Raw genomic sequence first — 17426 nt, forward strand, 5'->3', positions numbered from 1 at the left:
CCCCTTCATCCTGATGTTTCCTCTTAGTAATTTTCCATCCACTGATCCATCCCTGTTCCTTGGCTACAAATCCTCACTTGTCCATGTTGAAGTCAGAATTGAGCCCAGTTCTATACTGAGGTCTCTTTTCCCTATTGCAATAATAGTTCCTGATAACACACTTTTTTTTTTTTACTGTTTTAACAACTGTCCAGCTCTGGTTTTCTTTGGCAGAACCAAGTTTGTTTGGAATCCATGTTAATGCTAAAAAACCAGTATACCAAAGAAAAGTGAATTTCAAGTATCTGGCAAACAAATTCAAACCTAATACATCAATTGAGCTTAAAAATGACAAGATCACTCATGGAAACAAGGTGACTGGGAAATCATCTGTGTGTAACCAAATCCCTTTCTTCCTGGAAGAGGGCAGAGGTTAGGAAAGGCTGTGACTGAGAAAGATGATACCCTCGAATACTAGGGGCCAAGAATGAAAAGAAAACATGGCTTTCTACATCATGGCTCTCTACTCAAAAGAAAGTAACATCCATGGCTTCTGTATAATAGAGATCTGATTTCATCAGATTCTCAGGAAATCTGATGTCTCTAAGAACCTCTCCAAAGAACCTTCTCTTCACCTTCATCCCCTTCTAGCTGATCTTTTCCTCACAATGACTAAGATTCTTTTCATGTAATATGGATGATTATGACCCTAAAGGTATCCTTTGTGGGGGGCTGCCAGGATAGAGAAGTGGAAGAGTGAAGGGAAGCCTGGCCACTAATTCTCCACCACTTTAGGGTGCTTGCTGCTCTGCAGCCAGGCCAGACTCATGTGAAACTACTGATTTCTTCTTTTCTTTTGATTTGATTCTCTGATGTGATTTGTCTTAATAGGTACAAAACCCTCACCAAGCGATTGAGTAAGAACTAAAAGGATTTTTATTCAGTTGGACCTACTTTCATAAACACGTTAGATGCAAAATTCTTTCTCGCTCAATTATAAACAACGCATAACATGTGATATAACTTTTATGGATAACAATTTGGCAATATATGCCTGGCATAGAATAAGAATTCCAATGCATTTTTTTAACAAATTAATGAATCATTAAAATGTATTTATCTTTTGACCCAATAATTCTATCTCTAGAATATATCTTAAGGGATCACCAGACAAGTTCAGAAAGATGTAAAGCAATAAAATGGAAGTATCTAAATCTAAAATGATTAGTTACATTATGATACTGTAACAGACCATCTGCTAATAATGAAATGTTAGACCATCACTAACAATAAGAGCAATCTTTGAGTTAGCTATTTAAACATTCATAATATATTTTTAGATGAAGAGAGTATCGGCTGGGCACAGTGGCTCACACCTGTAATCCCAGCACTTTGAGGGGCCGAGGCAGCAGGATCACCTGAGGTCAGGAGTTCAAGACCAGCCTGGCCAACATGGCGAAACCCCGTCTCTACTAAAAATATAAAAATTAGCTGGGCGTGGTGGCAGTCGCCTGTAATCCCAGCTACCCAGGAGGCTGAGGCAGGAGAATCACTGGAACCCAGGAGGCAGAGGCTGCAGTGAGCTGAGATTGCACCACTGCCCTCCAGCCTGGGCAACAGATCAAGACTCCGTCTCAAAAAAAAAAAAAAAAAGAAAGAAAGAAAGAAAGATCCTATTTTTAAAAAACATATTTTTACAGACATTATATAGGTTCACCATTCCTTATCTGAAACCCTTGGTGCCAGGTTGTTTTGAGAATTCATAATTTTTCAATTCTGACATCTAATACAATACATATACCACGTATTTTCCAAATCCCCAGTGGATTCTCAGGTGCTGCCCCATGTTTATGCAAAGGAACATATAAAATAATCCCACTAAATAGAATACTAAAGACTAAAAATAGCCCCGCATCAATTCAGGTCATGTTTTGCCACCCAGTGAATTTGCATCAAACTTAGGGAAATTTTTTTCATTTTTAATGCTTTCTGAAGTTAGAATTGCAAGTTAAAATAAGAAGGCTTGGAAGAAAAAATACCAAAATGTTAATGGTTATTATTTCTACGTATTAGAACTATGAATTTTTTCCCCTCATTTTCTAAACCATTTATAACAAACACACATTATACATTTATAATAAGATTTAAAAAGCCAAAAGTAACTTTTAGAAAACAAGACATAACACAAAAAAATCTATGAAGACCTTAGGGAGAACAAACTACCTCAAAATAGCAAATTATGGAATAAAGCTATAGAGTCATAAACCTGAGATGTTAGAGGCCTAGAAAAGACTGCAGGCCACTTAAGACTGACAGCTAGTAATAGGTTTTCATATCCTATAGCTGATAAACCAAATAAAGTAAGCAGAGTTTTTCAAATCTTCAAAGCTAGTTTACTCTGATTCTTAATTCATTCTACCTGGATGGATCAAAGTTTAGTTTATCCCATTTTCGAAAAGGGCAAATCTTAAACTCTTCACAAATTTCAAATTTACTAGTTACTGCACATTCTACCCAAAATGCTACTCAAGGTAAATAAAAGTAAGAAGGTCATCTACCTGCCACACAAGTCACAAGAAACCATTAACAATTTCCTCAAATCCAGTGTCATTCAGATCATAACTGATATCTACATTTCCGAAATTTGTCAGGGAGCTTAACTTAATCCCAAGCTTACAGCCCCTCCGTGTTTACCAAAAGCTCAGGTGAATAAAACATAATATTGGGAATTGAAGACAAAAGCAAATCCAGGCCAACCAAGTTCCATTATATCATAAAAATATATCACTGCATCAAATGAAAGCAGCATCCAAATCTTGTCACATTGCAAAATGTGCCACTCTACTAGCTCTCCCAAATTTTACTGAATTGGAATTTGCTATGAGGCCACTAGCTTATGTTAAAGGTTACTGTACGAAACAACCCACAAAATGTATCACTGCATCATAGATTTAAAAGAGATCACTGATATCCTTGGTTTGTGAAGATCTACCCAAGGAGAAATGCCCACCCGATCAAATGCCACAACTGTGACTCTCATAACCAAACTCTCTGTTCTTAAGACGAGAGAGTGAATTGTATATTTCACAAGCTTTTCGTGTCAGCTGCTACAGAACTTAGCTCTAAACTTGTGACACATTCTCAGTGTATGTTGTTACTAAACTATATGTTTAGTCTTATTCCTGGATTTACTTTTCCCCTCATTGTTGGTTTTCTTTTTCTGCCTCATTTTAAATTCATACTCTTTCATCATACTTTAGATATCCCTTTTCCAATGAAGACAGAGCATAAGTAATATATAGTGTTTGACATTTTTACAGCTTAGTTATTGTTTTTCTGCATGCATTGTTCTGATCACTATCTGATGTTTACACACTTTGTTGTCTATCTTCCCATCCTATACACACTAGAATGTAAGCTCCATGAGAGCAGGAACTTTGTTTCATTAACTGCTATATCCCCAGTATCTAGGATGGTGTTTGCATCTACACTAATAATACATACAAAATGAAATGACCATGAAAATAGAGCAATTATATCGTATGCCATACTGTTATATGAAAGAACTTTTAAGTGAATCTGATCTTCAGTCTACATGATCTTTAACATTTTTGCACTAGTCTGCAAGAGGTCAAATATACTTATAGAGAGATCCCATTACTTGGAAATTTTCTACAAACCTACATGCATAATTGGTCCAATCCTGGATATTATTCCCGATGGAAATATTCTAAAAATACAGACAAAGCACCATATACAAAGATACTGATCAAATTTATAATAGAAACAATCTGGAATAAGCAAAATATCCAATGATAGGAGAATGTTTAAACAAATAGTTTCCCGTAGCATGTTAATCGTACCGCCATTAAAAATTATTTATGAAGATTTTCATAATGAGGAAAAACACTAATGAAACATTACATGAAAAAAAATCAGAAGATAAAATTACATATATACTGTGAGCTCACTTAAAAAATAAACAGCAAAATAGAAAATGATGGGAAATAAACCAACATACTAGATACAAATACGAATGATCTTTGCTTCAAAAATGTTCAATTGACATATTTTAATTCTTTACTTCTTTCCGTATTTTCCAAATTTTGTAAGACTACCACATATTATTTTACAACAACAAAAACAACTTTGTTATCCAGAAGTAACAAAAGTCTATATATAATATTATTGCTATTAAAATGTTTTTAAAAATGATAATTTATTATAGGAAAATAAGCATATTATTTGGAACATAAAATAAGAAAGCATTGCAAAGTAAAACAAATACTGTACCTTCACCGCTACGTGAAGTTTTGCTGTTTTCTTGGATGGTCCTGAGGCTTCATATGTTGTGCCATCCACATCTACAGACATTGTGAAGACTGGGGCATGAACGGGGCCAGACTGAGATAGGAGCTTATACTGAAGCCCAGGCCTGATCTGATTTAGCCTCATTAGTGCATTCATAAGGTCTATTGCTTTACTATCCAGAACTGTTAAAGAAAGAGGAATGAGGTCAGAAATTAACTAGAAAGTAATTTTGCTTTATGCGTTTTTGGGGTTCCTAGTAACTACTGTAAATTCACCAAAATTTTTTTAAATGAGGATTTCAAAACACACAGATTAACCTCATAAGTAATTCTAAAATTATTATGCTAATATCACTATAAAAATTGTATGCATTATTTAACTACACATTAATTTTCGCTTGTCAATATAAATGCATCCTAAGCAAAAAAGCTTGGAAACAAAAAAGTTATCCAATTATCAATTGCTCAGTTAAGATCTAGTCTCAAAACTCTAATTCAAATCAATCAAATTCTTCACTTTTTGGCCAGGCACAGTCGCTCATATCTGTAATCCCAGCACTTGGAGAGGCCAAGGGGGGTGAATTGCTTGAACTCAGGAGTTCAAGACTAGCCTGGGCAACTTGGCAAAATCCTGTCTCTACCAAAAATACAAAAACTTAGCAGGGCGTGGTGGCACGCACCTGTGATCCCTACTATTTGAGAAGGCTGAGGTTGAAGGATCACTTGAGCCCAGGAGGTGGAGACTGCAGTGAGCCGAGATCGCGCCACTGCACTCCAGTCTCAGTGACAGAATGAGAACCGATCTCAAAAAAAAAAAAAAAAAAAAAACCCTTCACTTTTAATTTTTCTATCTGAAGCTACAAGTCCTCTCTAGTTTGCATCTATAAGAATAAAGGTTTTACACACTTTTCCTTAAGTTTCGTTTCATCTTCTTGTTGGGGTCTTTATCATCCCCTAATCCATCTTCAAATGGCCTCTTTAGAGCTGAAGACCCAGCACCTAAAAAAAATTATGAGGGATTCATTATCAGTCAAAACAACAATCCCCTTACCGTACCATATGTATCTAACATGTTCAGGTAGGAAAATCTTAGGAATCACACCAAGGACCATACAACTTTTTCACTGATCAGTTAAATTACCATTATTTATAATCTAGAAAAGCAAAATTTTTTACAGCAAATCTTGAAACAATATTATCACTTTTTATATTTATTTTTTCCCATTTATTCATATATACACACCAATATCTATGTCTATGATATGGTCTGAATGTGTCCCCCCAAAATTCATATGTTGAAACTTAATCCCCAGTGCAGTGGGATTAGGTGGTGGGGAACCTGGAAGGTGATTAGGTTATGAGGGTGGAGCCCTTATCAATTATAAAAGATGCCTGACAGAGACTGTTTGTCCCTTCTGCCATGTGGGGATACATAGCAGGCACCATCTATGAGCAATGAGCCCTCACGAGACAGCAAATCTGCTGAAGCCTTGATTTTGGACTTTCAAGCCCCTGAGGGCAATAAATTTCTGTTGCTTATAAGTTACCCAGTCTAAGGTATTTTGTTTTAGCAGCCGCACAGACAGCATATATTCACGTTATATGCATGAAGAGAAAAAGTCTAGAAGGCTATATATCAAAATGTTAAAAAGTAGCTACCTCTGGTAGGATTTATTTTTACTTAATATCATTTCAAACATCTCTATAATTTAACATTTATGACTTGTATAAACTTTAGAAGTCCACGTTACATCTTATACTTTTAGAAATCTGATTATCCAACTATAAAATATTCTTCTGCCTCTTCAAATCCTATTCAAAATTTTATTTACAGTTCACCTCCTCTATAAAAATGTTCTCTCATATCAGAGATTTTATATCAGAAATGTAAAGTCTTGTATCATTGCCTATTTCATATATTCTTGTGTGTCTTCAGTGCTCTTTGAAGGTCAAAGATATTTTTTCCTTGTCTTGTATCTTACAAACTACCTTAACACAAGACTTAGAAGCAACATAATGGGCACTGAGCAAAAACTAACTGAATTGATTAATAATCAGTTTCTTGGATAAAGAAGCCACCAATTTATAATGTTGTCAAGCAAAAGGCAGCAGTTTTGCTGTCCAAGTTAAAAATTATTAGAGAAAAGTTCATCAACCTATTCAAGTACTTTAAAGATCTCATCTCTTTATGTCTTCACTTTAAAAGTTAGTTGTTTTTCCTAAGGAAAATTATGCTCAAGATACTCATGCCACAAGATTTCCAGATTCTTCTAGTGAAAGCCTATAATAATAATGAGATTAACTATGTATTTTCTGATCAAGATTTATTGTCCCTTGAGGTAAACACTGACTTCAGCATTTGCTTGGGTCAATATTTACCACTCAGGTTAATCAATCTTGATGTTCTCTTCAACAGAAGGCAACGTTGGCTGAGTATTATATTTCATTTGCATTACATACAACTATGAGTATGCCAGTCTCCCAGAATGCAGTCTTTAAGAGATAAAAGTTAAAAAGGAACTATGTCTATTCAATCACTCTTCTGCTCATTAAGTTACATTAAAAGCAGCTTCTTGATTGCCTGGAAATCACAAGCTAGCTTAAATGCAGAGATCTCTTCTCTAAATCCTCCAGCTACATAGAGTTCTATGGATTAAGCTTCATTCTATCATAGCAGCCATTGGAAAGGGGCTGTAAAATGTGGGGCTAATCATAATAGCAACCTAAGGAGAAAAAGGGTCTTGCTTTACAAAAAGCAGGTGGTATTCAACCTTCACAATATCTAGTGATGAGAAGTGATCATTTCTGAGGCAACAATTTTTAAAAATAATATTTTCGTATTTACCATATGCCTGACACTGTTAACATCTTACAGGTATTAACTTATTTAATCCTCATGAGCACCCTCATGAAGCCATTACCTTTACTGTCCCCATTATAAATTCATTCATATATTCATTCAACAATAAACAAGAAATATTAATTGACATTTACTATGTGCAAGACAATTTTAGGCGCTAGACACATAGCAAGTAACAAAATAATCTCCCTTTTCTCAAAGAGCTTACATATACTGGCCAAAACTAATTACAACATATACTATGGGTAGTGAGTGTAATGAAGGACAATTTATATGTCGTGCTCAGCAGAAAGGTATCACTAATGAGGAGACCTTTTGATGAAGACCTGAGAAAGTAAAACAGTGAACTATTCAGCCATTTGGAGAAAGAGTCCCAGGCAGAGAAAAATAAACAGCAACTACAAAAGTCTTAAGGCAGAAACATGCTAAGAAATGATGCAAAGGCCTGAGTGGTTGGAGTGAAACAAACAAGGAGAGGGTGCTAGCAGTAGGTGAGAAGAGCCAGGCAGTAGTTCTCAAACCCCGGTGCCATTAATTGACAAAATATCAAGGGCCCACTTCCAGTATGAGAGAGTAAATAAGTCAAAAAAGGCTTCCCAACTAGAGCAATTAGAAAAACTGGGCAAAACAAACAATAAGTATCTGTTCCTGGGCAATGAAGAATTTTAAAATCAAGATCTGGGAGGTGAGCCTGGCACGGTGCCACATGCCTGTAGTCCCAGCTACTCAGAAGGCTGAGGCAGGAGGATTCATTGAGTCCAGGAGTTTGAGGTTAAAGTGGGCTATGACTGCACCTGCAAATAGCCACTGGACTCCAGCCTGGGCAACATAGCCAAGCCGTGTTTTCTTAAATAAATAAATTAATTAATTAAAATAAACAAAAAAAGATATGGAAGGTGAAAGAAATTCTCTGCATTGGGGGTTACATTAACCCTAGGGGCATCTTCCTAATCCAGAAGAGGTCACTAAGAACTGAAGAGAGTAATGTCAACAGGCTCCCAGGTCTCAAGGAGTCCAAAACTAAGTTCAAGGTCCAAGCAGAGAAGGGCTGGTGAACCCCCCACACACTGGGTTGGGCCTCTGAAATGTTATACACTAGAAGTAAGATGAACGGGAAATATTTCTTCATCCTTGTGGCTCTCACAAGGATGAAAGCCCAGCTTCAAATTATCTTAATCCCTGACTACACTGAAATGATCTAAGACTGCCAATTTCATTAGTCACCTCCCAGAAACAAATATAAATCCTCCCTGGAGGAAGATATCATTACTCTACACTTTAAATTATCTACAATTTCTTATTTTAAAAATCCAGCACTCATAATAACCAGGCACATGAGAAGATATCATGATCAAAAATCAAGAGAAATCACACACAATAGAAAAAGACCCAAAATGGACCCAGATGATGGACCTTTCAAAAACAAACTTTCTTAAAAATAATTTCAGGCAGAAAATCTGAAACGATAAAAGAGCCAAAAATCTATAAATGAAAAATATAAACTAAAACCTGGCAGGCCTGCAAGGGGAAATGACAAATCCACAATAGATGGGAACTGTCAGAGCTCTCTCAGCAATTAATAACAAACAACATCTGAAAAGCACAATGAACAAGTGACCTGACATGACCTAACACGAAAAAAATATTATGACCCTCAACTGCAGAATATACATTTTCAGAGCAAAAAACGACCATGTGCTGGGGCATAAAATAGGTCTCAAGAAGTATCAAAGGACAGAAATCATACAACACATGTTCTTCGATGACAGCAGAATAAGTAAAAACTCAAAAACAAAAGAGTTAACTACAAAATCTTCATTTGTCTGCAAATTAAGCAATGACATCTAAATACCCCATGGGTCAAAAAATTAGGAATAAAAGAAAGTAAAAAATAGCTTTAACTAAATGATTATAAACATACAAATGTCCAAAGACTGTGATGTACATAAATCTGTGCTTAAAGGGAAATTTACCATCTTAATAGTATATAAAATAAGAGGATGAAAAATCAATGATGTATTCATCCACCTCATAAAGTTTAAAAAGAGCAGCAAATTGAACCCAAAGAAAGTCATAAGGAAGGAAAACTACAGAAAAGAGCAGAAACCAATAAAACAGAATACAAACATGCAACAGAAGACAATGAATAAAGCCAAAAGTTAATTTTCCTATAAAGATTAATAAAAATAATAATCCCCTAGGTGAGAGTCATTAGCAAAATAAAATAAGGTACAAAATGTATAAAAGAGGACATTACTACAAATACTACAGACAATAAAATGAGGATCTTATAAATTACTTTATTCTAAAATATTTTTAAATTTAGTTGAAATGGATAAATTCTTAGAAAAACATAGCTTACCAAAACTGTCCTAAGAAGATGGAAGTCCTATGCTTATTAAGGGAATCAGATCCGTAATTTAAAACATTTCCACAAAGAAAACACACACCAATGGCTTCACTGATTAATTCTTCCAACAGTTAAAGAAAAACTAACATCAAATTTATGCAAACTTTTCCAAACAATAGAAAAAGAAGGAATAGGTCCTAACTTACTTTATGAAGCCAGCATAACATTGAAGCCGAAACACAGGAGAATTGGTGACAAATCTAACACACAAAAACCTGTGTTTTTGTGACTTGCCCACAAAAACCTAAATTTTATATATAAATATACACACGTGTATATATATATGATTGTTCATAGAAGCTTCAACTGTAAAAAGCCCAAACTGGAAACTAACTAAATGTCCTACAATAGGTAAACAGTTAAATAAACTCTAGCTCATTCATACCATGGAATACTACTGAACAAGAAGGTACAAACTATTGACACACACAACAACTTGGATGGACCCTAAGGGCATTATGCTGAGTGTTAAAAAAAAAAATCGCAAAAGGTCACTTATTGTAGAATTCCATTTATATAAAATCACTGAAATTATAAAATTATGGAGATGGGTAAATCTTAGTGGTTTCCCGGGATTAGGGATGGCTGAGCAGAGAGAGGCGGGTACGACTATAAAGGGGCAGCATGAAGCAGATCTTAATGGTGTTGGAACAGTTCTGTATGTTGATTGTGGAGGTGGCTACAGAAATCTACACACGTAATAAAATGGCATAAAACTTACACACACGCACTGTATCACTGTCAATTTCCTGGTTTTGATATTGTACTATAAATTTACATAGATGCAGCCATCAAGAGAAACTAGCTGAAGGGTAAATGGGATCTCTCCTTATCATCTTTGCAACTATGAATCTGCAAGTATTTTAAGATAAAAAGTTGAAGAGGGGTGGTGTTCTCCATAAAGAGAATTGCTTCTTTGTGGAGAACAGATAGAGGGGCAAGAACAGAAGCAAAAAGACCAGACCAGGAGGTGACTGCAATAATCCAGGTGAGAGATGATGGCAGCTTAGATAAGGATGTCAGCAGCGAAGAAGCTAAATTCTAGACTCATTTTTTTTTTTTTTTCTGAGACAGAGTCTCGCTCTGTCACCAAGGCTGGAGTGCAGTGGCATGATCTGGGCTCACTGCAACCTCTGCCTCCCGGATTCAAGCGATTCTCTTGCCTCAGCCTCCCGAGTAGCTGGGATTACAGGAGCATGCCACCACGCCCAGCTAATTTTTATGTTTTCAGTAGAGACGGGGTTTCGCCATGTTGGCCAGGCTGGTCTTGAACTCCTGGTCTCAAGTGATCTGCCCACCTCAGCCTCCCAAAGTGCTGGGATTACAGGTGTGAGCTACCACCCGGCCTGGACACACTTTAAAAGCAAAAAGGATTTGCTGACGTTTGGGATATGGGTGAATGAAAGAGGGGATTCAAGGGCAACTCAGAGAATCCTGGCCTGAGCAAACGGAGAGTTTCCAATGACTGGGACAGGGATAACTATAGAAAGAGAAGAGCAAAGGGAGAGCGAGGGCAGGAGCTTAGATCTTAGACATCTTAAGTTTGAGATGTCTGCTGGACATCCATGTAGCGATATTGAGGAGGCATTTTGATATTTTGGTCTGAGTTCAAGAGCTGGTAGTCTGGGATGGAAGTATTAATTTGGGACAATCTTCAGTATAAAAAGGTATTTGAAGACAAGAGACTAAATGAGGTCCCCTAAAGCATCAGTGTAAAGAGAAAGGGTCTGAGGACTGAACCCTAGGACACTTTAACATTCAGAAGTCAGGAAGATGAGAAAGAACAAAGACAGCTGAGGAGATGGCAACAGAGCTAGAAGAACAAAGGAAGCTGATGACCTGGAAGTCAAATGAAAAGTGGTATTTCATTTCAGAAAACATGGCAATACCAAATGTTTTTGAGGATACAGGGCAACAGGAATTTTCATATACTGCTGGTGGGAGTGTAAATTGGTATGTGCAACCATTTACTAGGTTGTTTATGTGTATACCTCAGGAGGTATGCAGAAGAATGCTCATGGCAACACGGTAAGTGGTTGTCAAAACTAAAGAACCTAAACGTCCTTCAAAAGTAGAATGAGTAAACTAGCATATTCATAGTGGATACTATATACCTATTAAAATGAACTATATCTATGTGCAGCAACATAAATCAATCCCAAAGAATGCTGAACAGAAAGAAGCCAGTCACGAAAGATTAAACTTAGGACCCATTTCTGGAAAGTTCCAGGCAAACTCAAATTATTTAGGAAAGCATACACAAGTGGGAAAGTGGGAAAGAAAATCTAGGAAATGATTTTCAGAAAGTCAGAAATGGTATTTCTTGGTACAGGAAGGTAATGAGAAGGATAAAACGGATGGCTTCTGGGGCACTGATAGAATTCTGTTTCTTACCCATGGCACTGGTTTTATGGGTTTGAAAGAAATAATTATTTTTTAAACTGTATTTTTTGTACTTTTCTATATATGTGCTATATCTCATTATAAAATAAATATGGGAGAGAAAAGTGTTCCTCTGTATCAAATGTTGCTGAAAATGGCTAAGATGAGGACTGAAAACTAACCAGTGAATGTAGTAACGTGAAGGTCGCAAGGGATACTTCAGGCAAGTGGTGAGGAAGAAAACCTGATTAGAATAGGTTCAATGAGAATTCAAAGTGAGGAAATGGAGAAAAGAGAAAAGGGCTGCTCTTTCCCAAAGTGCTGCTTATAAAGAGGAGAGAAATGCAACTCTGTTGCAGGACCTACAGAATCAAGGGAGAGTTTGTTTTGGCCTTGTCTTTCAGATGGGAGATACTGCAGCAGGTTTTTACGCTGATGAGAAGCATTCAGTAGACAGGGAGGAACTGACGCTGGTGAGAGAACAGATAATTGCTGGAATAATGTCCATTGGTAGGCAAGAGGGGATGTGATAGTGGGTAAGTAGAAAGGTCGGTCTTAAGAGGCGAGGCATTTTCTGCAGAGGCAAGGGAGGGAAAAGCAAAGACACGAGTTGATGCAGTGGGGCTTGGAGACAGTGATGAGAACATATACAAGTTATCTCTTAATATTTATCTGAGAAAATGGAAGCAAATAAGCTCATCAGATGAATAAGGAGGTAGAGAAGGAGGTGTGAAATGTGAGAAAATGTGAAACAGTTATCTAGGAAACTGGAGAAGTCTCAAACTTACAGGATTGCCCAGCAACACAAACAGCCCTATTAAATTAGTGTCACCGACTTAAAGGGAAAACAGTCAAGACGGCTGTTCTCCAACCATGTTGAGCAACCCAGTACAGACACAGAGAAGGTAGAGAGATGGATTTCAACCAGTTAGAATTTTGCCAGAAACAGAGAATCAAGGAAGTAAAGGTACGTGCTAGAGAGTGGTAATCAAGGATCATGTAATACAAGCACGGTAAGGACAGAAGGGAGAACACGAGGAGGATGAAGGACTATGCAATGGTACTGGAAAAAATGACAAGATTCAAGAGCTGAAATAAGGGTAGGAGACACAGTAATGACAAGAGATTGGAAAGTGGGATTCTTGAAAACATGATTATGGAAATAATACAGGTACAGTTATTGATGAAGACAAGAACTAGGCTATGCCCACAGAATAAGTAACCAAGGAAAGGCAGAGGATAAAATATTTGTGAGAGAAGAAGTCACAGAACTGAGACATTAGTGTTGAAAAAAATCACCTGAGATGCATAAGGAAATCACCGAGAATAACACGAATAAAGTTTAAACGTGAATGTCAGGAAGCTAGGTGCTAAAAGCATGAAAGTATTGGAGAGATCATTGTATAGCCAAAGCACAAAATGGTAAAGTGACTTGCCCAGGCCATATAACTTTGACAGAACTAGAACAGGAACACTGGCAGTCTGGTTCTATTTTATGCTATCAACTGACAAACCAGCAGTTCCCAAACTTTTGAGAAAGATCTTTAAAGTTAAAAAAAAAAAAAACTAAGTCACATAATAGTAAACATACTTTTACTATCTAGTGAAGGGGAAAATATAAAACCGAAAGAGTGGTTGTGAATTTGGTGATTGAAATAAAATTTTCTGATACTAATCATAAGAATCTAAATATATATATAACATTTTTATTCAATCATTCAATGCACAGACAATGCTTGATGTCACATGGGTATGTAAATCCCTTTCAATAATTTCTTCACCACTAAGCAAGCACCTGCAGGAAGAAAATGGCCTTCATTCCTCAAGTAATATTAAGCATTGGTTTATAATAATCATAGGGTAGAATCTGGAGGATTCTTTCTCCTGAGGAGTTTACAGTGTGAGGCACTGATTCTCAAACTTTTTAGCTCAGGAGTACTTTACACTCTTAAAAAATTATTAAGCACCCGAAGTGCTATGCTTTGTGGGTAATATCTGTCAATATTGAGCATATTAAAAATAAAACAAAACAATTTTAAACACAAGGATATAGAAAATAAAACATTCCATTAGCCATCAGAGCAACGATCTCATCACATGTCACATGTAGCCTCTGGAAAACTATACACTTAGGAAAGAAAGAGAGAAAAAGGCCAAAAAAAAAAAAAAACCCCTTAATATTATTATTACTATTCAACAGCTTTGATGTTGTAGACTCTCTGAAAGTCTTCAGACCCACTGGAATTCTGTCATCTAAATAAACAGACTGGGCAACTGCACTATTTTTGTGATATCTAAAAGTAGAGTAATTTCCATTGTTAGAGGTAGGCTGCATTCCAGGTGAAGAATATCCGGTATTAAATATTCCACTTTCTAGTTTAAAAGAAGAGAAAGGGAGGGAAAAAAAAATATTTTTGAGGCCTAAGGAAGGCAGTAAGTGGATTCACATTTGAGTATCCACTGTATTCTAGGCAACAAGTCAGGCATTTTAACCGGACAAGAGTCAAAAAAATAAGAAAGAGGGTAATATCCCTAGTGAGAGAGATGAGCTAACTGCTCAAGGCCTAAAACTAGGAAGTGGTGGAGCTATGATTGGAACCCAGGTCATACTGAGCCCAAAACCTACATTTTTTCTGCTGAAACTCTGAATTCAACAGACTAATACAAATGGAAGATGGTCCTGAATTTTCCAATATGCTTTTCTTCTCCTCTGTATTTTTCTTTCTTTCTCAGTTAGATAACATTTCCAAGCTTGAGAAAGATAATCAAACTGATTAGTGATAGTGATAACGTCTCCTCCTAGCTTATCGCTGATTTCTTCTCCTTAGACCAGGGGTTCTGAAAGTATAGTCTATGCAGTAATGGCATCTGGCCAACATAGCCAAATGAGTTAGTCACTAATAAGAAAACATGATTATGTTACATTAGCTGACGTTACCTAATAAGAACAGAAGAGAAGAAAGTCAGTGTATTGGTCCATTCTATTTATTGTATTAGTTCATTCTCATGCTACTAATAAAGACATACCAGTGACTGGGTAATTTATGAAGGAAAGAGGTTTAATGGACTCACAGTGCCATATAACTGGGGAGGCCTCAGGAAACTTACAATCATGGCAGAAGGGGAAGCAAACACATCCTTCTTCACATGGTGGCAGACGTGCAGAGTGAAGTTGGGGAAAAGCCTCTTATAAAACCATCAGATCCTGTGAGAACTCACTATCACAACAACAGCATGGAGGTAACTGCCTCCATGATTCAATTACCTTCCACCGGTCTGTCCCACAACACCTAGGGATTACGGGAACTACAATTCAACATGAGATTTGGATGGGGACACAGCCAACCTATATCAGTCAGGAAGAAAGCTTTTTATATATGATTTGGATGCACAATTATTAAGTTCCCTAAGTTGTAATGAGAGATGAATCCCATGATTATCTCTACCAGTGCCAACCCCCAACCCTAATAAAAAACTTCCATGCTCACCTTCTTTATCAGTAACTGACCAGGAATACTTCTGAAAAGGCTTACTAGATGGAAGGGGGTCCATCTCCAGCACTTTGTAAATCTGGCCAAAGGCTGATAGTCTGAGTGCATGCTAAAGAACAAAGTATTATATTTAATCACATTTCAATAGCCATTCATAAAGCCCTTAGAACATCTAGCTAAAAAGACACTCATAAATTCTGACATTATAACAGCAGAAGTCCCTAACAACACACAAGAAAAAAGTGTTTGAACACAATTGAGAAAATTAAGTTATGTTATTTCACTAATAAGTCAGAGTGGCATGCTCAATCTTCTACCTGTGCACTGTGGGTAATATCTTCTTTTTGCTGGATGGTCATATAGCTCAGAGCATCTGTTGGGTCTCGCTCACAAGGATCATGAAGACCAGGACCCCCTTTGGCAAAGGAAAAACACAAGTATCATTTAGAACTGAGTTTAGAATTCGGTAAACTAAAACAAAAGAGAGATGGCTGGGGAGAATGAAGAGAAAATGAAAAAAAAAACTGAGGAACTAAGTTAAAAGTCTGCTCAGTTAAGTGGAGTAAAAAGGACACACTCTCATTTTCAACATGTTAGCACTTGTATGTCCTTATTTTATACTGGAAGTCACTTGTATATCTAAGGCCCAAACTGAGTCTTACTCTGAGAATTTAGAAACAGCACAATGAATCAGCCCAAATCTTAAAAGGGATTACATATGGAAAATAAGACCAAATTTAATTTTTCCAAATTTAAAACCAGACTACAAACAGAATGAACTTCATACATTTTAACTAAACATCTGCAATTTCAAATTCAGAGTTCGAGGTAAAGCAAATTCAAAGCAGACACAATATATTATTAGTACCCTTTATGTTAGTACATATAAAACACAAATTATAATTATTGAAAAAGAGTTTTATAGCACTTTTCCAACACGCATTCTAGTTGTCAAAATTCCAAGCAAAAGAACTCCTATGCATCATTTTCCTGTGTAGAGAACAAACTTAGCATATATTTAGAAAAATAAACTAAACTGAGATTTGCTGATTGTTCTGCTTCCAGAGTTTGAAACCCTTACCAGGAAGTAGTATTCCAGATGCCAAACACTCCATTACTCGTCTCAAGGCCTCCCCAGCGCCCAAAGGTCTATTACAAGTACCTATAGACTTTTCACATATAAGTTCTAGTGGCTAGAAGATATTAAATTACAAATTAGTACATGCACCAAGTGTTAAAAGGATTCCAGTTAAATGTGAGCTAACATTTCTATCTACAAGGGAGGCCAAAGAGTGAAATTCAATTTAACATTTAGGACCCACTTAACATTTTCCCCATGATTATCAACCTTTACCCTGGGAAGAGTTTTTAAATCAAGCAATTTTAAGATCGTATCTTCAGAAGACATTTTTGTAACAAAAACTTTACATTTATTTACCCAGAAAGGATCACTAGAGAAACTATGGTCTCTAATTCATTTAATAAAGACTTAACAAGTCCTCATATAAGTTAGTAATAGCTAATAACTAGCCAGTGTACAAAACCCAGCCCACTTAATCTCCCACTTAGGAAGCACACAAACCACAAATATTTCAATATAATAATAAGACTTCGTTTCAGACAGCTTGTCTCAAGTATTACCATTAGAATAAACAAACGACCAAATGTCCATGTTCAATAAACTAAGAACTCATATTTTGTCAAAGTAATCATTGCTACATTCATTTATAAAATGATCTTTCACGGCTTTATTTAAATTGTTTTATAATGTTCTTAAGTTGTCTTGATTGGAGCAGGCATAATTTCCAAGTTAAGTCAATTTTACAATATATATAAATGATATCCATATGGGGTTAAGTGTACTGTTTGCCTGACTTTAATTACTAACATGAACTTATTTGTAAATGTCTCCACTCAAAGAGAAAGCTACAGAGGTATAGGATCCTTATACCGGCCTATTGGGTAATTTTCATGGTAATGCAAGGGGGCACCAA

At 36.4% G+C, this 17426-nt stretch overlaps 1 protein-coding gene across 11 annotated transcripts in view; it reads right to left on the minus strand.

The window, feature by feature from the left end:
* STRBP (spermatid perinuclear RNA binding protein) overlaps positions 1 to 17426 on the minus strand; it is a 159093-nt gene that overhangs the window by 33089 nt on the left and 108578 nt on the right. For all 11 annotated transcript variants that reach the window (XR_007061327.1, XR_007061326.1, XR_001746347.2 and 8 more), the window contains 5 exons: positions 16514 to 16625; positions 15750 to 15847; positions 15430 to 15541; positions 5196 to 5288; positions 4273 to 4472 (listed from right to left, as the gene is read on the minus strand). Coding sequence is in view for 7 of the 11 variants with exons in the window: in NM_001376109.1 (NP_001363038.1) it covers positions 4273 to 4472; positions 5196 to 5288; positions 15430 to 15541; positions 15750 to 15847; positions 16514 to 16625 (615 nt within the window). In the remaining 4 variants the exon portion in view is untranslated. The remainder of the gene's footprint in view (positions 1 to 4272; positions 4473 to 5195; positions 5289 to 15429; positions 15542 to 15749; positions 15848 to 16513; positions 16626 to 17426) is intronic.

Source organism: Homo sapiens, chromosome 9, assembly GCF_000001405.40.
Source record: "Homo sapiens chromosome 9, GRCh38.p14 Primary Assembly".
In the NCBI taxonomy this organism is placed as follows: domain Eukaryota; kingdom Metazoa; phylum Chordata; class Mammalia; order Primates; family Hominidae; genus Homo; species Homo sapiens.